The sequence below is a fragment of the Homo sapiens genome, chromosome X (assembly GCF_000001405.40).
Source record: "Homo sapiens chromosome X, GRCh38.p14 Primary Assembly".
Lineage (NCBI taxonomy): Eukaryota > Metazoa > Chordata > Mammalia > Primates > Hominidae > Homo > Homo sapiens.
Window position 1 is genome coordinate 135557183 of NC_000023.11, and position 23301 is coordinate 135580483.

At 37.3% G+C, this 23301-nt stretch overlaps 1 protein-coding gene across 25 annotated transcripts in view; it reads left to right on the forward strand.

Annotated features, from left to right (window-relative positions):
- INTS6L (integrator complex subunit 6 like) overlaps positions 1-23301 on the forward strand; it is a 61851-nt gene that overhangs the window by 36523 nt on the left and 2027 nt on the right. For 5 of the 25 annotated variants that reach the window (NM_001351601.3, XM_006724740.3, XM_047441909.1 and 2 more), the window contains 7 exons: positions 12155-12249; positions 13254-13364; positions 15633-15851; positions 16757-16880; positions 17902-18044; positions 20011-20245; positions 22606-22980. In NM_001351601.3, the coding sequence (NP_001338530.1) occupies positions 12155-12249; positions 13254-13364; positions 15633-15851; positions 16757-16880; positions 17902-18044; positions 20011-20245; positions 22606-22980 (1302 nt within the window). Of the gene's footprint in view, positions 1-9927; positions 10077-12154; positions 14407-15632; positions 15852-16396; positions 16493-16756; positions 16881-17901; positions 18045-20010; positions 20246-22605; positions 22981-23301 lie in introns of those variants that run through there. The other 20 variants (NR_147256.3, NM_001351604.3, NM_001351605.3 and 17 more) reach the window with 11 other exon arrangements.

Here is a 23301-nt window from a genome sequence, read left to right on the forward strand (position 1 = left end):
TTATCATTAACATAAGATATAGGTTATATCTTTCAGATTAATAAGACAGCCAGTAAAAAAGTGTCTGTATTTTGCAGATTTATTTATCCCTTTTCTTAAATAAGTCTTTATGACTTCAGTTTCCACAACTATAAAGTGAAGAGATTAGACTATGTAATCTTCACTAACACTGTTAATGATATTATTTTTCTATTTTTAAGTGCACTTTTTTTGATCTACTTTATTGAGTTATGCTTGACGTACAAAAAGCTGTACATATTTAATGTATACAACTTGATGAGTTTGGAGATAAGTATATACGCATTAAACCATCACCTCATTCTATGCCATAAACCTATCAGTCACCTCCAGAAGTTTCCTCCTGCCCTGGTAAGATCTACCCTCTTACTGACCTTTTAAGTACACAATACAGTATTGTTAACTGTAGGTACTATGCTAGAAAACATTATGCTGAGTGAAATAAGGCAGACACAGAAGAACAGATACCACATGATACCACTTACACACTTTTTATTTTGAGATAATTGCAGATTCACATGTAGTTGTAAGAAATAATATAGAAAGAGATGACCTCAAAAGCACAGGCTGCAAAGACAAAACTAGACACATGGGACTATATCAACCTTAAAAGCTTGTGCATCAAGGGAGACGATTAACAGAGTGAAAAGGCAACCTATGGAATAGGAGAAAACATTTGCAAATCATATATCTTATAAGGGCTTAATTTCCAAAAAATATAAGGAAGTCTTACATTTCAATAGCAAAACAAAAACAAAACCCTAAATAGCCTGCTTAAAAAATGGGCAAAGGACTTGAATAGATATTTCTCCAAGGAAGAGGTACAAATGGTTAACAAGCATATCAAGAGATGCTCAACATCACTAATCATTACAGAAATGCAAATCAAAACTACAGTAAGGCATTACATTACACCCCTCAGGATGGTCACTATCACAAAAACAGAAAATGAGAAGTGTTGGTAAAGATGTGGAGAAATCGGAATTCTTGTGCACTCTTAGGAATGTAAAATGGTGTAACCAGTATGGAAAACAGATAGAAGTACCTCAAAAAATTAAAAATAAAATTAACCATATGATCCAGCAATCCCATTTCTGAGTATATATCCAAAAGAATCGAATCCAGAATCTTGAAGATATATTTGCACACCCATGTTCACTGCAGCATTATTCACAATAGCCAAAAAAAAATCCATTGATGGATAAATGAATAAAGAAAATGTGGTAGATATACATGCAATGGAATATTATTTAGCCTTAAGAAGGAAATTTTGTGACATGCTACAATATGGATGAACCTAGTGGACTTATGCTAAGTGAAATAAGCCAAATGACAAATATTGTATGATTCCACTTACATGAGGTATTAAAAGTAGTCAAACTCATAGAAACAGGGGCTGTGTGAGGGGAAAATGGGAACTTGTTCTTCAGTGGGTAATAGAGTTTCAGTTTTGTAAGGTGAAAAGCCTCTAGATATCTGTGGCACAGCAATATGCATACAGTTAACACTACTGGACTGTACAGTTAAAAATGGTTAAGATGGTAAGTATTACGTGTTTTTAAACACAATTTCTTCTTTTCTTTTTTCTTTTTTTTTTTTTTTTGAGACAGAGTGTCTCTCTGTCACCCAAGCCAGAGTGTAATGGCATGATCTTGGCTCACCGCAACCTCCACCTCCCAGGTTCAAGTGACTCTCCCGCCTCAGCCTCCCAAGTAGCTTGGATTACAGGTGCGCACCACCACGCCCAGCTTTTTGTATTTTTAGTAGAGATGAGGTTTCACCATATTTTCCAGGCTGGTCTCGAACTCCTGACCTCAAGTGATTGGCCCACCTTGGCCTCCTAAAGTGCTGGGATTGCAGGCATGAGCCACTGTGCCCAGCCTAAACACAATTTTTAATAGGATTTTTAAAAAAGAAATAACACAGAAATATCCTATGTACTCTTTATTCAGTTTTCCCAAATGGAAGTCTTGCAAAACTACAGTACAGTATCACAATTGTGATATTAACATTGATGCAGTGAAGATACAGAACATTTTCATCACCACAAAGATCCCTTATGAGGCCCTATTACAGCCACATCTACCTGCCTTCTGTACCCATCCCCTCCTTAACCACTGCCAACCACTAATCGGTTCTACATGTCTACAATTTTATTATATCAAGAATGTTATATAAATGGAACCATTCAGTATGTAACCTTTTGGGATTGGCTTTTTTCAGTCAGTGTAATTCTCTAGAGATTCCTTCAGGTTGTTGCAAGTATCAATAGTTTGTTCCTCTTCACTGCTGAGTTTACAAACTATGACATTAATATACCACAGTTTCTCCACCTGTTCACCTGTTGAAGGACATCTGTGTTGTTTATGCTTTTTGGCTATTGTGAATAAAGCTACTGTAAACATTTGCATACAGGTTGTGAACATAAGTCTTCACTTCTATGAGATAAATGCCCAGGAGTGCAATTGCTGGATCCTATGGTAGTTGCATGTTTAGTTATTTAAGAAATAGCCTAAATGTTTTCCAGAGTAGCTATACTATTTTACATTCCCACTATTAGTGTATGAGTGAATCAGTTTCTCTGCATCTTCATCAGCCATTGGTGTTGTCAGTATTTTTAAAATTTTAGCCATTTTGATAGGTGTATGGTGATATAGCACTGTGGTTTTAATTTGTATTTCCCTAATGGCTAACAATATTGATCATCTTTCTATGTGCTGATGTGATGATGTGCCATTGTATATGTTCTTTGGTGAACTGACTTTTCCCTATATTTTAATTAGATTGTTTGCTTTTGTTACTGTTGAGTTTTGAAAGTTCTTTATATATCATAGATACTAGCCCTCTGACAGATAGGTGACTTGCAAATACTTATTTAGATCTTTTTTGATCTTTCATTGGTGTTACGCAGTTTTCCACTTACAAATACGGTGCATATTTTGTTATATTTACACTTACTTCATTTTTTGAGTGATTGCAAATGGTATTGTATTTTTGATGTTGGTATCTACATGTTCACTGCTAGTATATACAAATACAGTTGATTTTTATGTTAATATTGTATCCTGCAACTTTACTGAGCTCACTTATTAGTTGTAGGAGAGTTTTGTAGATTCCCTGGAATTTTCAACATAGACAATTATGTCATCTGCAAATAGAGACAGTTTTACCTTTTCTATTCTTATCTTTATGTTTTTTCTTTTCTTTTCTTGCCTTACTGTACTGTAGAGAACTTCCAGCACTGTGTTTAATGGCAGTGGTAAGATGTATGTTCCATCGGTGCTTGACAACTATGCACTATTCATTCTTACATTAAGCATAATGCTTTTGTAGATTTTCTTCATCAAGTTGAAGAGTTCTGGCTGGGTGCGGTGGCTCACGCCTGTAATCTCAGCAATTTGGGAAGCCAAGGCGGGTGGATCACCTGAGGTCAGGAGTTTGAGACCAGCCTGACCAACATGGCAAAACCCTGTCTCTACTAAAAAATACAAAAATTAGCTGGGCGTGGTGGCACGCACCTGTAGTCCCAGCTACTTGGGAGGCTGAGGCGGGAGAATCACTCGAACCCGGGAGGTGGAGGTTGCAATGAGCCGAGATTGTGCCACTGCACTCCAGCCTGGGAGACAGTGCAAAACTCCATCTCAAAAATAAAAAGTTGAAGAATTCCCCTTCTATTTGTATTTTTCTGAGTTTTAAAAAATCATAAATAGGTGTTAAAGCTTCTCAAATGCTCTTTCTTTTTTTTTTTTCTTTTCTTTCTTTTTTTTTTTGAGATGGAATCTTGCTGTGTTGCCCAGGCTGGAGTGCAGTGGCACAATCTCAGCTCACTGCAACCTCCACCTCCTGGGTTCAAGCGATTCTCATGCCTCAGCCTCCCAAGTAGCTGGATTACAGGCATGTACCACCCTGCCTGGCTAATTTTCATATTTTTAGTTAGAGACGGGGTTTCACCATGTTGGGCAAGCTGATCTTGAACTCCTGACCTCAGGTGATCCATTCGCCTCGGCCTTCCAAAGTGCTGGGATTATAGGCACAAGCCACTGGGCCAGGCCTCAAATGTTCTTTCTGCATCATTTGATATGACCATATGATTTTTCTTCTTTAGTCTGTTAAGTATGATGGATTACACTGACTAATTTTCAAATATTGAACCAGCTTTCTATCCCTGAAATAAATCTCACTTGGTCATGGCATATAATTCTTTTCATATATATTACTGAGTTCTATGTGCTGATATTTTCTTGAGTAATTTTGTGTCTATATTCATGAAAGATATTGGCCTGTAGTTTTCTTTTTTGTTGTTGTCTTTGGTTTTAGTATCAAGGTAATACAAGCTCTTCATAAAATGAATTGGGAAGTGCTTCTCCTATTCTGTTTTCTGGAAAAGATTGTGTATAATTGGTATTAATTATTCTGTAAACATTTGATAGAATTCCTGAGTGAAACTATCTGGTTCTAAACATTCCTGTTGGGAGTTTTCAAATTATTAATTCAATTTCTTTCATAGTTATAGGGTTATTCAAATTATGTATTTCATTGAGTGAAATGTGGTTATATGTCCTTTTGAGGAATCAGTCCATTTGTCCATTTTATCTAAGTTGTGAAATGTATGTGTGTAGAATCATTCTTAGCAATCCCTTATGGTCCTTTTGATGTGTACAGAGTCTTTAGTGATATCACCTATATTATTCCTGGTATTGATAATACGGGTCTTATGTCTTCTTTGTCTTTGTCAGCCTTGCTAGATGTTTGTCACTTTTATTAATCTCATCAAAGAACCAGCTGTTTCATTAATCTTATCAATTTTTTTTTAAAATTTCATTGATTTATTTCCTTTCTTCTTACTTTAAGTTTGTTTTGCTTTTCTTTTTTGATTCTTGGTATGGGATCTTAGATTATTGGTTTGATACTTTTCCTCTTTTCTATTGTAAGTAGTACTTAGTGCCTTAAATTTCTCTCAGCGCTAATTTAGCTGCTTTCCGCAAATTTTACATGTTGTCCTTCATTTTCATTCACTTTACTTTGTCTTTTGATTTCTCCTGAGACTTATTTGACCCATAGATTATTTAGAAGTGTATTGTTTGATTTCCAAGTATTTTGAAATTTACCTATTATCTTTTTGTTACTAGTTTCTAGATTGAATTCCATCGTGGTCAGAGGACACATCTGTATTCGATATCTACTCTTATAAATATGTTGCCATTTGCTTTATGGCAAAGCATATTTTCTATCTTAATATATATTCCAGCAGTGCTTGAGAATAATGTATGGTCTCATGTTGTTTGGTAGGATATTCTACAAGTGTTAAATTGTTCCTGTTGGTTGATGGTGTTCTGCTATATCCTTGTTGATTTTCTGTCTATTTGCTCTATCAGTTTTTGAGAGAGGGTTGTTGAAGTCTCCAACTATAATTGTGGATTTGTCTGTTTCTTTTTCAGTTCCATCAATTTTTGCTTCAACTATTTTGCAGCTTTTACTTGGTTCATACACATTTAGAATCATGGTGTATTCTTCCTTGATTGATCATTATGTAATGTATCTTTGCTAATTTTCTTTGCTTTTAAGTCTGCTTTATCTGATACTAATGTATCCACTTCTGTTTTTCTTTGATGTTTGCATGATATATCTTTTCCCATCATTTTACTTTGAACTTGCCTATAACTGTTTTGTTTAAGTGAGTTTCTTATGGACAGCACATTTTTGGGTCATGTTTTTTAATCCACTCTGCCAATCTTTGTTTTCTAATTGATGTATTTAGATATCTGCATTTAATGTGATTATTGTTATGTTAGGGCTTAAGTATGCCATCTTATAGTATTGTTTTCTCTTTGTTCTATTTTTCTTTTCTCTGTTTTCATTTTACTGGCATCTTTTGGGTTATTTAAACGTTTTTTAGAATTCTATTTTCTTTTACTATAGTACTTTCAAGTATATCTGTTTGGATAGCTTTTTTAGTGATTGCTCCAGGTGTTATTATACACAAATTACCACAGTCTACTCGTTCTCATTATTTTACTAATTTGAGTGGAATATAGAAACTTTATCTCTCATTATATTCCCTTACCCTCCTCTATTTATAATAAAATTATCTGAACTATTTTATGTACAATTAGAAATACATGAGGCAGTGTTATAACTTTCGCTTCAACTGTCAAACATAATTTAGAAAACTCAGGATGAAAGTCCATTGTTTTAAACCATATTTTGGCATATCCTGTTCTTTCTTCCTGATAATTCAAGGTTTGTTCTTTTATGTTTAATTTCTGTTTAAAGAACATCCTTTAGCTGTTTTTTAAGGGTAGGTCTGCTAGTGACAAATTCTCTTAGTTTCTCTTCATCTGAGAATATCTTGATTTCCCCTTCATTCCTGAAATATATATATACATATATATATGTATATACATATGTATATATCCATATGTGTGTGTGTGTGTATATATATATATATATATATATAGCTATATATATAGCTATATATATAGCTAGGTATAGAATTCTCGGTTGACAGTACTTTTATTTTAGCACTAGAAAAATGCTGTGTAACTGCCTTCTGTTCTTTTGGTTTCTAATGAGAAATCTACTTTAATTCTAATTGTTCTTCCTCTGTAAGTGAGGTATTGTTTTTCTTTGCTTTCAAGATTTATTTCTGCCTGTAGTTTTCAGAAGTTTGATTATGATGTGTCTTGGCATGCACTCCTCTGAGATTATTCTGTTTGAGGTTCATTCAGCTTCTTGAATCTGTAGGTTTATTTCTCCTTCCAAATTTGGCCGGTTTTCAGCCATTATTACCTTGAGTACTTTTTCAGCCCCACTTTCTTTCTCTTCTCCTTCCAGGATTCTGTTGACATGAATGTTAGATCTTTTCTTATAGTCTCTTAGGTTCCTTAGGCTCCGTTCATTTTTTTCATTCTATTTTCTCTGTTATTCAGATTGGGTAATTTACATTGTTCTATTTTCCAGTTCATTGATTATTTCCTCTGTCCCCTGCATTCTGTTGTTGAGCCTATCTACTGAGCTTTTTATTTTGGTTATTGTATTTTTTTAATTCTAAAATTTCCACTTAGTTATTCTTTATATCTTCTATTCTTATTCTCTGTTTCTTTGCATGTGTTTTCATTTGTTTCAAGCCTGCTCATATTATTTTTTGAAACATGTTTTATGATGGCCGCTTTAAATTGGATATTTTTAACATCTCTATTATCTTGGTGTTGGCATCCCTTAATTGTCTTTTTAAATTAATTTTGAGGCCAGGCACGGTGGCTCACACCTTAATCACAGCACTTTGGGAGGCCAAGGCAGGTGGATCACTTGAGGTTAAGAGTTCCAGACCAGACTAGCCTGGCCAACATGGTGAAACCCCGTCTCTACTAAAAATACAAAAATTAGCCAGGCATGGTGGTGCACGCCTGTAATTCCCACTACTCGGGAGGCTGAGGCACGACACTTACTTGAACTTGGGAGACAAAGGTTGTAGTGAGCCCAGATCACGCCACTGCACTCCAGCCTGGGTGTTGGAGTGATACACTGTCTCAAAAAAAAAAAAAATTAATTTTGAGATCTTCCTGGTTCTTGGTATGATGAGTGATTTTTTTCCTGTACATTTTCAATATTTTGTTATGAGTCTCTGGATCTTACTTAAACCTTCTGTTTTAACTTACTTCCTCTCACACCCCTCTTGGAGAAACTGGGAGGTGCTGCCTCATTCATGCCAGGTAGAAGTCCAGGCTCGCCACTTGGCCTTCATTGACACCAAAAGGGAGGGATCTCCTTGTTATTGTTGTGTGTGAGTAGGAGTTCTGGATCCTCCCTAGAATGATACCTTCCTGGCTGGAAGAGATAGGAATGCTTCATTATCTTCCACACTTGACCTCCACTGACACCATATGGGTAGAGGTGACCTCATTACTACTGAGCAGTTGTGAAAGTCCTATACAACTATTATGGGCTAAGCTCTAGGGTCCCATCTTTGGTCTAAATCCAGCCTGCCTTCCAAATTATTCCCTGAAAATTCCTTTAACTAGAGTAGCTGGTCTTCCAGTAGCTATCAGGATGTAGAGCACTTTACAATAGCAAGACTCATCCTCTCATCTTTGCCTTTGCTCGTCTTTCAGGTAATGGAGGTCAGATGAAGGCATGACATAATGGTTAAGAGGAATGATTATAGTGTGATCAAGCATTCAGTTCTCCCTTTGCCTAAAACCTTCTGTGCTTAAGTTGCCATGTGGTGCCCTTCCCCAAACTCCTCAGCACTATGCCAAGTCAAATCCTGACACTGTCTTCCTGGTCACCTTTTAGTTTGCATCACTCTATTCCTCAAATGTCAAGTGTTTCTTCTGTTTGAAGTGTCTTCTGTCACCAGTAAGACATGTGTGGCATCTGTGCCTGGTCCTCCTTAGCCTATAACACTAAGACTCCAACCCTGCCTAGAGCATGATGACCTAAATTATTTTGGTTGCCCAACAGCCTTCTGGATGTTTCAAGAGTGTCTTCAAGCCAAGCTGAACTCTTACCTTACCATGCTCTTCCTCCTCTCTTCACAGTTTAGTTAGTGGCATCACCATGTCTATGCAAACATCCCACACCAGAAACTCTGGAGGCATCTTTGACTCTTCCCCTGTTCCCTAATCCCATACATTCAGCTAGGGTCCATGCCAATCTTGACTCAGTTCCCATTCTGCCCCCTGGCTTCAAATATCCATCTCCAGGCCTTTCTGTAACCTGTGTTTTCTGAGGAGTATAGGGTTTTTAACACCCTTTGAGGCTGGAGGTCCTTGAGCTCCTAAAGTCCAAACTTGGGATTCCTTGTGAGTTTCTGAAATAAACAGAAACTCAACATTTCCATAATTACTTAATTCTCTGGGGAGTTTGACATTTATAGTGGTTAAGAGTTTGGGCTGGAGGGCATAGCTGCCCAGGTATGAATCTGGCTCTGCTACTTGCTAGTTTCATGACGTTGGGCAAGATACCTAATCTGTCTATGCCTCAGTTTCCTCATTAGTGAAATGGGGATAATGATAGTACTTACCTCAAAGGGATTTAGTTGGAATTAAATGAGTTAATACAGTTAAATTGTTTAGAACTTGCCTGGCAAATAGTAAGTGCTCAATAAATGCTGTTGTTATTATTACTGTCATTATTAATACCTACATTATCTTAGTAGCTCTCGAAGGCACTGCTATATTATACTAAGAAGGCTATTGTATAATTTTGCAGTTTTAGTGGACAGGGACAGTTAGTAAAAGGGCAAGTTAAGTTACACAGACTACATAAGTCCAGAAGCATCACTATATTACTGCATAGTACAGTAATTGTTCATAACAGTGTCCCTTGTTTTCTTTTTATTAATACCAGATTTCAATCAAATTAAGGTCATGAAAGTTTAATTACTTATGCACTAAAACTTACCAGAAAATATAAAATATCTCATTTTCTGGAATAGATAAACGAAGCTTAATTGTATCAATGAGCTACCAGAATCATTTCATTAAGGAGGTCACCAGATTGTTGTAGTTAGCAAAGGACTCTCTCCCAATTAGGAAATTAGTTTTTCTATTGAGACCTAATAACTGCAGAAATTAGAGCATTTGTAACAACTTTTTTTTTCGTTTTCTTAAATATATCACATTCAATCCACCTGTTCTTTTAAATTAAGAACTGAGGACTTGTGTAAAAAATAAACTTTAGTTCCATATTAAAACCAGTTATGATCAGGAGGAAGAAAGGGAGAGGTATGAGAATAGAGAATAGAAGCAGGATACTTTGATGTGTATCAGTCACTATGTATCTGGTGCTTAACAGCTTACACTGGTTTGTTTGTTTTTCATTTTGTACGGGGCTTTTACACATACATTATGTAGTTCCTTAGAATAGTCTTGTGGTAAGGCAATTATCATCTAACCCATTTTATAGATGAAATGGAGGCTTACAAAAGGCAATTTCTCCAAACTCACTGAGCTAAGGATGTGGCTGAGCTTGAACTCAAACCCAGGTCTTCCCTCTCTTTGAAGAAAGAAATGGGGAGAAAGGAACTGGAAGAGAAAATACCGGTCATTTTTGAGGTGCTGGCAGTATCATTTTACTTTCATTCTACACTCTCATCATATCTTCTTTCAAATGTTGATCAGCTAATTGTTTATGTGACACCTTTACTGTACCATCCTAGAGAGTCCATGTGAATGGGTATTTAATGCCATGGAAATAATTTGCTGAGCTACAGAGGTAGTGACTAAGGCAGTGTCACCCCAGGAGCTCTCTACTCTTAATCTAGACTGCAGAAGATTTTCTTTCTTCTCCTGACTCCCATTTTAAAACTCTGGCAGAAAATAATTAGCCTAAATGAGCTCCTTGGTGGAATCATTGCACTTGGCATTGTTAGAAATGCAAAGAGTATTATTCACTTGATTATCTAATCTATTTATATCTAAAAGTTTCTCCAGTATTTACGTTTGTCCGTTAGTTTCCAAAATCTGCCTAATTCCCAACAGACACAACATAAAGACATGGTATAACAGGATATATCCATGGTCTCTCATTCCTTTCTGTCAAGATATGAATGGTCTTTAAAGGCCCCACTTGCTGCAATGAACCAGAAATATCTTCAAATCTTTAACAAAAGACCTACATTTTATGACTTTGTAAATTCATTTAAATTTGTTTCAGCAGGAGTGAATAATTTATTATAGCTGTAAAAGGAAGGAAATATGTAGTCGCTTTTCTTAACTAAAGTAATTCAGATTTTCAAAGAATAGCCCTATTTGTAAAGAAATTATGCATGTGGGATAGGGATGGTTTTGTCTCTGTAAGTAAAGCATTTTTTTTAAAAAAATCAAAACTACTAAAACCTTAAGACACAAAATAAAGGATGAATTTATAGTGTCTTTGGTACCTATAGTATGTGTGGCAGATTCATGTTGATGTCTGGGGATTCCAATTTTTATATTTTTATTGTATTAGAAAAATGTTTTTTTCTTACACTTGGAAGGAAATAATGAGATGTGAAGGAAATTTTCATGCGTATATAAAATGTATTTAGATTATTAAAATAATTAAATTTAAGTGTGAAAAGATAGGGAATGTCTACTTAGGTAAATATTTTTAGTTCAAATATTTTTAGTACATGGTATTCAAGAAACATGTTTAGTTGTTCTACAGAATTTTAAACTTCAACCTAACATCTGTACTTACTTCTACTAGTGCTTTTACTATCACCCAATGACTTTAGGTCAGTGAGTGACCTAAAGTTTGGCTCAAAATGTGTGATCATGGAAATAAAAAAAAAATGCAGAGGCAGGGAAATATGGCTAAACAAAGCATAGGCTGATTAAAATTTTTATTTTATTATTTTATTTTATTTTATTATGTTTTTTTGAGACACAGTCTTGCTCTGTCACCCAGGCTGGAGTGCAGTGGTACGATCACAGCTCACTGCAGCCTCAACCTCCCAGGCTCAAGCAATCCTCCTGCCTCAACCTCCCCAGCTACAGGCATATGCCATCATACCTGGCTAATTTTTGTTTATTTTTTTTATAGAGACAGGGGTCTCATTATGTTGCCCAGGCTGGTCTCAAACTTCTGGGCTCAAGTGATTCATCCATCTGAGCCTCCCAAAGTGTTGGAATTACAGGTGTGAGCCACTGCGCCTGGCCCAAAATATAGTTTTAGAGCTTGCTCATCACTGCCTAGAAATTATAGGCTTAGCTTTTGTTTGTATATACTTTGTAAAGTCTCTTACCTTGACCTTTCAGCAAAATGGATAACACCCTCTATGTTTAAATGAAATAAATGTTATTCCATCAACCAGTGACCATGGATTGCCCCTGAGGTGAAAATTACTAGTTACCAATATGTAAGAGGTTGGGAAAATATTTCAAGTGGATCAAAATCATTGTTTTAATATTGTATTTCATGTAGCATTGCAGATGAAAGAGGAATATGTAACTTAAGAATTTATTTCATTTTTTAGAAAAAATACTATATATAATTTTGGTAAATAGTACAACCACTAAAAAAGATAATCAAATAAACGCCAATGAAATTTTCATCTACATTAAAAGCTGAAGTTTCTAGATGTGGGTTGCTTGATTATATCTTAGAGCTCAGGACTAGAATGATGTAATATTTTATTTTTCTATTACAGATGACTTGTTTAAAGTTCACAAGCTTAAGCCAAATCTGAAGTGGCGACAGGCTTTTGACAGCTACTTAAAAACTCTGCCTCCATACTACCTATTAGTATGTATTTGTGTGTATATATGTATTAACTGTATCAATGATAATTCTTGTCACAAGAAATGTTAGTGATCAAAAGCTTTTACTGTTGCAATAAGAGAGATATCTTTTTATTTTACAGATATTTGTGTCGTCACTGTCTTCTCAAATCATGTGTAAGAGTTTGGAGATGTCATGGCGGCACAAAAGAGAGCTGTTTTCTCTATTTTATTCCTTTAACTGCCATGGTTATTTTTATAAAACACATCTATGTTTCTCTTATTAAAAGTAACCTTAATTTCATTGGAATTTAAGAATAAATAGATCTGGATTCATATATTACATCAACTTCCCTTTTTAACTCTAGAAATTCTCAGTATGGGGTTTCCCTCTGGAAAAAGAAAATCTGAAGACATTACAGTTGCCTATTGCCTCTTAAATGTGTCCTAGACACAGCATGAAGTTGGGGCACTGGTGGTGAGAGGCGGAATCCAAAAAAATTCAGAAATGACTTGGCCTCATTTTGGATTTCATAATGTGAAGTATTCATGATTTTGAACTGGTAATATAATCTAAATCAAGATTACCAAAATAATTTCAGAGGTTGATGTGGTAACCTTTAAGCGAAGTTTCTAGAGGTGAAAAGGCAGAATCTTAAATGGTACCATTGGTGTCACTGGGAGGAGAAATTGGGGTGTGTTACTGTTTACCATGGCAGTAATGGGGCAAACAATAAAATGCAATGTGAAATGATTTGATGATTTGGGAAATAAGATTGAACGCAATTTACTTGTTTGAATTTGCTGTTACTTGCTCTTCTTATCCCACTCTCTTCTGATTTTTTTTTACTTTCTGCTCCTTACTTCTCTGCTATTTTCATTGCCACTTTTTAATGTTCCATGTTTGGTTTTATGTGCAGCACCTTGACTTCTAAGAAATGAATCATGTCCCTTTGCCCCTTATAACTGAACTTTGAGTATTTTAAGATTTATTCTATTCTTACTGTTGTGTATTTTGTTTCCTTATAGCCATTAAAGAAAGCACTAAGGATGATGGGAGCTCCAAATCTGATATCAGATAATTTAGATTGTGGACTTAGTTACAGTGTTATCTCTTACCTTAAAAAACTCAGCCAACAGGTAGTATTGGTAAAAACAAACAAACAAAAATCCTTTGCCCTCAGAAGTGCATTTCCTTATTCTTTAGTGTAATTGTAATTTTTCAAATTAAATGTGTATATATCTCTACACTTTATGGATTAGTAATAATGTGATTCTCTATGGCTTCTAGCTTCACCATTAAGCTGCAGTTAAGGGTCTGTCAGTATCATTTGATGCTGTGCCATTTCTCCTTTTGCCTGCCAGTTTGTCCTACCCGCAAGCTGGTTGATATGGGGCAGAGGTTTAATAGACTTCTCTCATGGGTCACATTTTGTCTATCTTCAACCTAGTTCCTCCTCAGATCACTCTGGGCTACAGCATCCCTCCTGTTTAGATCAGCACACTGAGGCGTGGTGTGATTAAATGACTTGTCTGAGATTAGTTTTCAGGCATGTGAAGGACTTATACTCACATGCTAGCCCTTGGATAAAGAGCTATATGCTTTTCCCTGGAGAGTGGGGAGATGAGACCAGTGTTCCTCACACTGGAGGGTGATAGACCCCAAGGGGAACTGAAGAGTGGAGCTCAGTTTCCTCTCTTCTCACCCTCCACCTGTTCCTCATTTGCCATTATTCACCTTGTCCCTTGCCTGCCCCTCTCTATTAGTACCTCATCCTCCACTCACCGTTCCTTATCATACTTCTCACCTCTACTTAGCCCATTCTTGTAGGATGGAAATATTTGAGAACTACTGAGTTAGAACTTTACTATCATATGAATGTGTTATGTTATATGACAAATTAATGCAGCAGTTTTACTTACCTTATGCACAAAGGTATTCCCAGGTAGGGGACAATAGTAGCATTCGCAGTGGTGATAATGCTTCAAGGTGGATGTGTTTGGAAGTTTGGCCTTTAGGAAATGGAGAGTAGTGAGCAAAACATCAGATTTCACCAAAGAACCAAAGTGACTCCACAATTGGGATGCCGACACACCTTGCTAGGAACTGACAACAACTTCAGTATGGTCTGGAGCTTACCAGCTCCTACCAGTCCAGTGTGCTTATAAGTGCAAAAGAAAGTAAAGGCAACCCCAGATTTCTAATCTACCAAGTGTCCCCCTAACCTCCTTTCCTCTCTGCTAATAGATTTTTTGTGGTTGTTGTAAATGTTTTGGTTTGGTTATTTATTTATTTATCTATCTATTGATCTATCGATTTTTTTTAATTTGATGTTTACCTAAGCCTTTAAGGCTGTGTCACCAAGGTATGGCCACAAGGAAGAATAGTGTACAGAGATTTTAATTAATGCAAGTTCTGGGACCTTTTGGGGCACATGTATCATTTTACAAATGAGCTTTCAAGACCATTTAAGGAAACAGATGCTTCATTTGCTCTTATCTCATATTTCATGACTTAAGAATTTTTTAGTGATAATAAACATAGACTTAATTCCAATAATTAGGGAAAATTGATAAATATCTGTCACCAAACCACAAGAAATCCAAAATCATTTTAGGTTTACCAAACATTGGTGGAATTCCATCTTTCTGAGAAAAAGGGAAGATCATAGCTAATTTATAATAGCTCAAATTACTAATTTAATAACTGGGTCACCAGTGTTTCTTGAGCCATTTCAGATGTATGTAAAACACAAAATATGCCAAATATATATTGCTATAATACACTCAAGCAGTATTAATCAATATGGTATCACAATGCCTATTAAGAGGCTTTTTACAAATTACTTACTTAGTAATATCTGTTAAATTAAGCATTATCTTCTAAGACCTTTTTTGGATAGTCAAATATAAGAGATAAATAGTTTAATTTTTTCAGACCTTTTTTGGATAGTCCAATATTAGAGATAAATAGTTTAATTTTTTCAGATATAATGCCAGTCGATGTGATCTGAATTTTAGTACTAGTTTACACGTATAAATACAGTCTTAAACCTTTATGTCTGAGTCTGAAATGAACCTGTTCACTTAGACTAGATTTTATAGTAACAAAATGTGCTTTTAAATGTCTATGAATGAAATTCTTATTCATGGTTTTTATTCTCTCCATGATTTTATTATAATTTTGACACTAGACAAGAAAAAAAAATATTATTTGTCTTTCCTGCCCCCTATCTGTTTGCTGTGATAGTGCAAAGAAGCACAGGAAAATGTTTAATTATCCATTTTTCTGTGATTTGTAATTGAAAATTGTTCTGTGGGGTTCTGAAAGTATTATCTTTCTTAAGTAGTAAAAATGACAGTGGTAATGTAGATGTTTTTATAACATACTATGTACTTTCATTTTAGACCAAACTAGAGTCAGAACGAATACTAGCATCAGTGGGGAAGAAACCTCCCCAGGAAATTGGAATTAAAGTGAAAAATCATTCTGGAGGTGGCATGTCCTTGACTCACAATAAAAATTTTAGAAAACTATTGAAAGAAATCACAGGGGAAACTGCACTTAGACTGACAGAATTGAACACCAAAGAATTTGCTGGCTTCCAAATTGGGCTCTTAAACAAGGTAAATTGTGACATAAATAGTTTGTATTTGTTTGAACTTGTCTGATACATTTATGTCTTTCATATTCCTTTAGTTTTGAAATAATGGACAATCCTATTTTGGAGTTAGTAGTTAATAATGGACCAGTTTAGGAATTGTCAGCAGATATCAATATGGAATTAAATGGACAAGATATGTTTTGTGGGTAACGCCCATGAAAGATAAAGGGGAGATGAAGCTGGAGTAGGCAGGCAGAGCTTCCAAGCTACAAAGCTGGCCCATCACCTGTGAGAGGAAGGAGGAATGAAGGAGAATTGGGTGTGAAGAAGCTCAGACACTGGTGTAGCTTGGAGAAAGTCTTGGCCAGCACAGTGGGGACCTCTAGCACCAAGATTTCCTACAGAGGAGGGCCACACTGGGCAGAGCTGGCCAGGCCCTAACACCCTGCCATTGTCTGTTACTGGCTATGGGCAGCCTGGGAAGGGCATGGCCTCAGCTCAGTGCTGCAGCGGATCCCTATGGCACCACAGCAGCGGGAGGCTCTCTGCTAACTGCACTCCTTGCAGGATCAGCCATTGCTTTCCTGAAGGGAGATCCCAGCAGCTCACCTCCCCTCCATGGCTGCCAGAGGAATACATCTAGAGTACGAGCAGTGGTCCTGCAAGGCGGCCACAGGTATCAATCTCGGGATTTGGTGTTTTAAATGACATATTTGAAAAGGGATAGTCCCAGTGGCTTTAATACCCTGTAGGTGTGTTACAATGCAGAACAAGGCTAGCAAGTGGAATTTTGCCACTGGGAAAATTCTACTGTAGTCAGTTGTATTGATATAACACTCTTCAATAACATTTTAAGAGAGATAAGTATGACATTTCTATATTAAAAGCCTTAGGAGTAACTGAAATTATTTGTTTCATTTCAAATAGGATTTGAAACCTCAGACATACAGAAATGCTTATGATATTCCCCGTAGAGGTCTTTTAGACCAGCTGACCAGAATGAGATCCAATCTGCTGAAAACGCACAAGTTTATTGTTGGACAAGATGAAGGTAAAATAACTGTGAAATACTTTTTTTTTTTTTTTGGAAAATGCCAGGCATGACTTACAGGAAGGTGTTTATTGCATAATGAGTAGGCTATTTTATAGTATTTTAATGTTTAAAATGCCTGTTTTCACTGAATCCCTATGTCTGTTTACCAGGCACATTTTTTTTTTCAAGTTTAAGGTCAAGTGTGCATTAATCAGCACGTACACTACACTTGCCATGCTTTAGCTATTGTAAGCTTCAAACAACCCCAGGAAATAGATACTGTTTTTATGTCCAATTCATGGACATGGAAACTGAGAGTGAGGATTTTTAGTAGTTTGCCCAAGTTTAGCCAGTTGGAAAGTGGCAGAACCTAGGTCTGTCAGATTTCCCAATTTGCACACCCAAACACTAACACTCAGCCTACTGTGATAAATTCAGTAGAGAATACCTCATTTAAATGAAAGTAATCAACCTAATGGTATCCAGGATAATTGTGACTATTTACAAATTCCATTTACTCCATTTTGTTAATTTTAAAAAGGCTCACCTGTTCACTAAAATGAGCAAATCTTATTCTGGTCAATTCCCTGAAATTATACACAAAGTTTTGTGTGTAAGAGGGCTTTTCTAGGAAGAGAACCTACAGATTTAATCAAATTTTCAGTGATTAAGACCTACTAACCAAGATTCTCTGGATGATAAGTGAATGCCATAGAGACTAGACTCTTTGAAATGCAGAAGATATGTGGTGATTTGAGTTGGGATGGTGGTGTAGGGTCAGCCCATTCTCAAACCTGGTTTGAAGGCAAGGGAGTTGTTCTGATCCTAGCGATGTGAGCCTGTAGGCAGTAGTAACGGTAGACTAAGTTATGATTGGGATGAAGAGAGATGATTCTAGATCCTAGAATGCTAGATTCGAGACTTTAAATACTATTTGATGCCAAGACACACACTGCTAAACCAAACTATGATCATGTCTTCTCGAAAGGACCATACGCTTCAGCTATAAGCATCAATTTCTTTTCCTGTGATTTTGCAGATTCCCTTCATAGTGTTCCAGTTGCACAAATGGGTAACTATCAGGAATATCTGAAGACATTGGCTTCTCCACTGCGAGAGATTGATCCAGACCAACCCAAAAGACTGCATACTTTTGGCAATCCGTTTAAACAAGATAAGAAGGTAGGATACCTATGCCTATGTCTGCCTAAATTGGGATATTCTTGCTATATAATTATTTTCTTTTTGGCAAGATAAATACAAATCAGAGGTTCTTCATTTGTTTGTTTAAACAATAAAATATGACACTAAGGCTCTTAGTGGGAGCCTCCTGATGCAAGAGTGTGTTGGTTGAATAAAGTCAGAGCTGCCATGTATTGAGTACTAGTAGGAGCTGGTGTTTTAAATGATCTCACTTAATGCTCACAACTGTTCTGTAAGACAAATGTTACTGTTTGTCCTTTAAAAGGGAGAAATCAAAGGCCACAGTGGTCAAACGCCTTACCTGTGACATAGCACATAAGAGCAAGGATTTGAATCCACGTCTTTCTCACTCCAGAATCTATATTCATTCCACCACACACTAATTTCTTTAATATCGAAATCACAGTTTATTTCCTGTTTCCATGATTCATATCTGTAGTGCTTGATCTAGAAAACGATGAATGTGTCCCTTGAAATATGAAGTACTAAGTGATGTTGTTTTACTTGAATGGTCCTACTAAAAATCTAAATGTGGGGAGTGTGTGTGTGTGTGTGTGTGTGTATGTGTGTGTGTGTGTGTTATACTGACTTGCCCATTAAAGCATGAAAACAAATGGGATTATAGCTGCACTCATGGAGGAGACCATTGGTGTTAATTAAGGCTCAGACCACACAATAATCTCTTTTGTGACAAGACTGATTGAAAGGTATTCCACGTCACCTAAATCCTCAATTTATCTTTCTATGCTTCACTTTCCTCATTTTGTAGCACTGGGGATAATAATTACACCTAACTATGCTGGACGAGGTGGCTCACGCCTGTAATCCCAGCACACTGGGAGGCCGAGGCAGGCAAATCACTTGAGGTTGGGAGTTTGAGACCAGCCTGGCCAACATGGCAAAACCCTGTCTCTACTAAAAATACAAAAATTAGCCAGGCGTGGTGGTGGGTGCCTGTAATCCCAGCTACTCTGGAAGTCTTAGGCAGGAGAATCACTTGAACCTGGGAGGCGGAGATTGCAGTGAACCAAGATCGTACCACTGCGCTCCAGCCTGGGTGACAGAGTGAGACTCCATCTCAAAAAAAAAAAAAAAAAATTACACCTAATTAACTAATAGAACTCTGCATAATATTAAGTGAGTACATGCACATTGTTTACAACATGAACAGGCATGTAGTAAATTATCTGAAAATGTTTTCCCCTTTCTGTATTGTTTATGAGTAAAAAATCTTTTGGAAAAGCCATTTATTATTATTTTATTCAACTAATGAGGGCACATATTCTTGGATTATTCCTGGACAAGAACAGCTCTTGGCTAAATTTCTATACTGCTGCCTCTCATCTTTTATCTATCCCCCCAAGAGTGAAAAGCCTCCTCACTGCCTGCCCAGCACCAAAGTGGGCATATTTGAATCTCTGTGAGGCTGCAGATGGGGAGGTGCATTTTCCACCTGCCTGCCTTTCAACACGTACATGTAGCATACTGTACAGTGATAATCAATGTTGTTTAATGATATGAGTTTGGAGCATAAAAAAGGAAATTATTTCCCTTATGAAGAGTTGATGCAAAATAGTTCGTACTTCTCTCCTTTTGGTTGAATAATGCTGCTTATTTGCAAACTTTCTGATTAATCATTATTGTAGTATGTTTTGCTTGGGACAACATCCTGTATGTTAGTTTCCTCCTTGTTCCATTTAAATTGGATTAAAATTGAGTTGCATATTTCTAAGAACAAAGTTGGGGTGGGGTAAGATAAATCTTCGGCCCATGATTAAGGTTTATATTAGTTAATCTGGCATGGGATTTAAAAAAATGAAAGAAAAAAAGACATATTCGTGATATAATGCAAGATTGATTATGTATGCATATTAAGAGTGCTTGCAGTTATATAATAGTGGAATTTTGGTCTTTAATGAAATACGTTCATTTATGTGTTTTTTAGGGAATGATGATTGATGAAGCAGATGAGTTTGTAGCAGGGCCACAAAACAAAGTGAAACGTCCAGGGGAACCCAACAGTCCTATGTCATCTAAGAGAAGGCGGAGTATGTCCCTGCTGTTGAGGAAACCACAAACACCACCTACTGTAACTAACCATGTGGGCGGAAAGGGACCACCCTCAGCCTCGTGGTTCCCATCTTATCCAAACCTCATAAAACCCACCCTTGTACATACAGGTATAGAGTAGTGGTTGTGATTTCCTTATGGCTCCTAGAGGACTAAGACGCTAAACAATTTTATTTCCCTTTTTGTGTTCCTTCCTTTGTGTTCAGTTTGTGTTCATTAAGTAAGCCATTACTAAATCATCTATTTGGTAGGTACAATAAACCCCACAGGGAGCAGAGACCCTGTTTCAAGGATCTCAATCTACATGAGGTGAAAAAAATTATAATTATATAGTAATTAACACACAGTAATTAACAGTAATGAATACATTGCTTAGCAAGTAAATGCCACAGTAATTAATGGAGAAATGGAAAGAGGTGAGCATGTCTGCTGCAACCTTTTGGAGTGGCTGCAAGGGTGAGGAGGATAAAGCAGGTTTCCCTGGCAGTAGGAGCAAGTGGACTCAGCAAGACTGGATCTGCACTTGCTCTTTGTGTTATCACCACCTATGCATGCTCTAATCCGGTGCAGTCTGGTATCTGCCTCCTCGACCCCACTGAAACATTCTCATCAAGGTCACTAGTGTGTGCAGCACATTGCCATTCCTTCTCCACAGCATTTGACACAGTTGTTCACTCCCTCCTCCATGTGTACGTTGGGTGCTCAGACACCATAAGCTTATAGCTTTCTTTTCCCTCTAATAGCAACTCCCTTTCATCCTCTTTTTCTGGTTTTGCCTTTTCTTTCCACCTCTAAATATCATAGGGCCTCAAAACTCAATCCTGGTACCTCTCCTGTCCTTCACTGCGTTCTCTTCCTAGGTGACCCCATGCAGTCTTGGGGCTCTAAATTTGACCTCTAGAATATAAATTGCTCCTCAATTTCAGACTCAGACTTACTTGTGGACATGCATCTCCACTTAGGTGTCTAATAGACAAATAAAACTCAGTAGGTTTCATGAGTTTCAACTGAACTCTCGAACTTGCCCCTCTCCAAAACAGCTCTACTTGTAGCCTTCCACATTGCAGATAATGACACCATCCAGATATGTGCCAGTAAAGCTTTAACATCTGTCAGGGTTGAGGAGGGTAGAGAAGCTCTAGATTGTAGTGTTTGCAGATTTCCTTCATGTAAATAATGCTAATATTTATCAAAGTCAAGCTGTCAACCTGAGGTCATTGAACCAGAGTCGGGAAGAATGCTCTGGAGGGCAGTTGTGCCCTGGCTCCTGCCACACTTCAGCACTATTTACCCAGCGGTTCAGCTGACAAACCATAGAGTCATCATGATTTTTCTCTTATTCTTCCCTCGCTTTGATACCTTTCACAAGTTCAGGAAACTTGATGTTCAACATAATCCCTAAATCCCACTATTTCTCTCTATCCCTCCAGTGCACACTGCTGTGGCCTCTCACCACACTACTACAATACCTTCTTATCCCAGCTTCATGTTTCTAATCTAGCCCCCATCTATCACATACTCTCTAACCCTGTGGCCAGAAAATTATGTCTGCATGTATATCACATCATGCCATGTCGCTCCTGAAAACCTGTCCTCAACTCTCCTGAGCACTCAGAAGGGACCCTGAACCAGCTTTAGTCTGCAAGACTGCACGGCTGGCCTCTGTCACCTTCTCCTAACACGGGAGCCCCTGGGGCTCCCTCTGCTGCTGTCTCCCAAAGGCCTGTAGATGACTTCCCCAACACCAGCCCAATGCTGCTTGTTTCATTTGCTCATTGTGCATGTACTGTCTGACTGCCCCATGAGGATGTGAGCTCCACAAGGGCAGGGAACGTTGCTCTGGCTGTTTACTGCTGATCTCCAGCTCCCGACACACTGCCTGCCACAGACGATGAATAAATGAAAGAGGTGTCAGATCTGGAGTGAAAAGAAAGTACTTTTCTGACACAGAAAAGAAGGATTAGGAAGATAATACACTAAGAGGGATTTTTGGTGATGGAGTGTGTATAGAACTTTCAGCACTAATGGCCGCCTCTATTTTCTCAGAATGTATTTGATGTAAAGAGGAGGCAGGTTGTGGTGTATCCAAGTTGTCTGGCTTCCAGCTCAGTAAAGCATGGCAGGTTGTATGTGAATTTGAGAAATCATGAAATAAAGTGAGACTTGCTGTTTTCAACTTGTAAAGCATAACAAGCTGACACTAACGCATGAGTACCAGGGATCTGTGAATGTGTGTTTAGAGTTGTACTGTCTTACTTGGTTTCCATATGTATTCATAGGGCCAGAAAATAAGAGGTGGTTTTATTGTATTATGTGTCCTGGCCTCAATTTGAGGGGTCTCAGATCGCCACCTGGTATATCATCCTGCTTTATGAGATAATTTCCTAGAAATTGAGCATCAGAGGGATATACCTGTGGGGTTGACATAATACCCTTACCTCACAGCTCAACCTCTTCATTTGGTTTCCAGATGCTACTATCATTCACGATGGCCATGAGGAGAAGATGGAAAATGGTCAGATCACACCTGATGGCTTCCTGTCAAAATCTGCTCCATCAGAGCTTATAAATATGACAGGAGATCTTATGCCACCCAACCAAGTGGATTCTCTGTCTGACGACTTCACAAGTCTCAGCAAAGATGGGCTGATTCAAAAACCTGGTAGTAACGCATTTGTAGGAGGAGCCAAAAACTGCAGTCTCTCCGTAGATGACCAAAAAGACCCAGTAGCATCTACTTTGGGAGCTATGCCAAATACATTACAAATCACTCCTGCTATGGCACAAGGAATCAATGCTGATATAAAACATCAATTAATGAAGGAAGTTCGAAAGTTTGGTCGAAGTAAGTAGTGAAAGAACATCTATCAATAATGCACCAGGAGGTTTCTCTCATTCTGTGATTCACTATAGATTCAAGCTATCCCTTGAGGTACACTGGGGGCAATATTGGGCTTTCACATAGTTTAAGGCAGTTCCTCTTGTTTTAACTAAAAAGGTACAGTCTATATTTTCCTGTTTTTTCCCCTTATTTCTTGTAATGTTTCCTTTTGCTGCCGTAACAAGTTATCAAAAGATTCCTAGCTTAAAACAATACAAATTATTATATTAAGTTCTGGAAGTCAGAATTTTGAAATTATTTTTGCTGGGCCAAAATAGTGTTGGC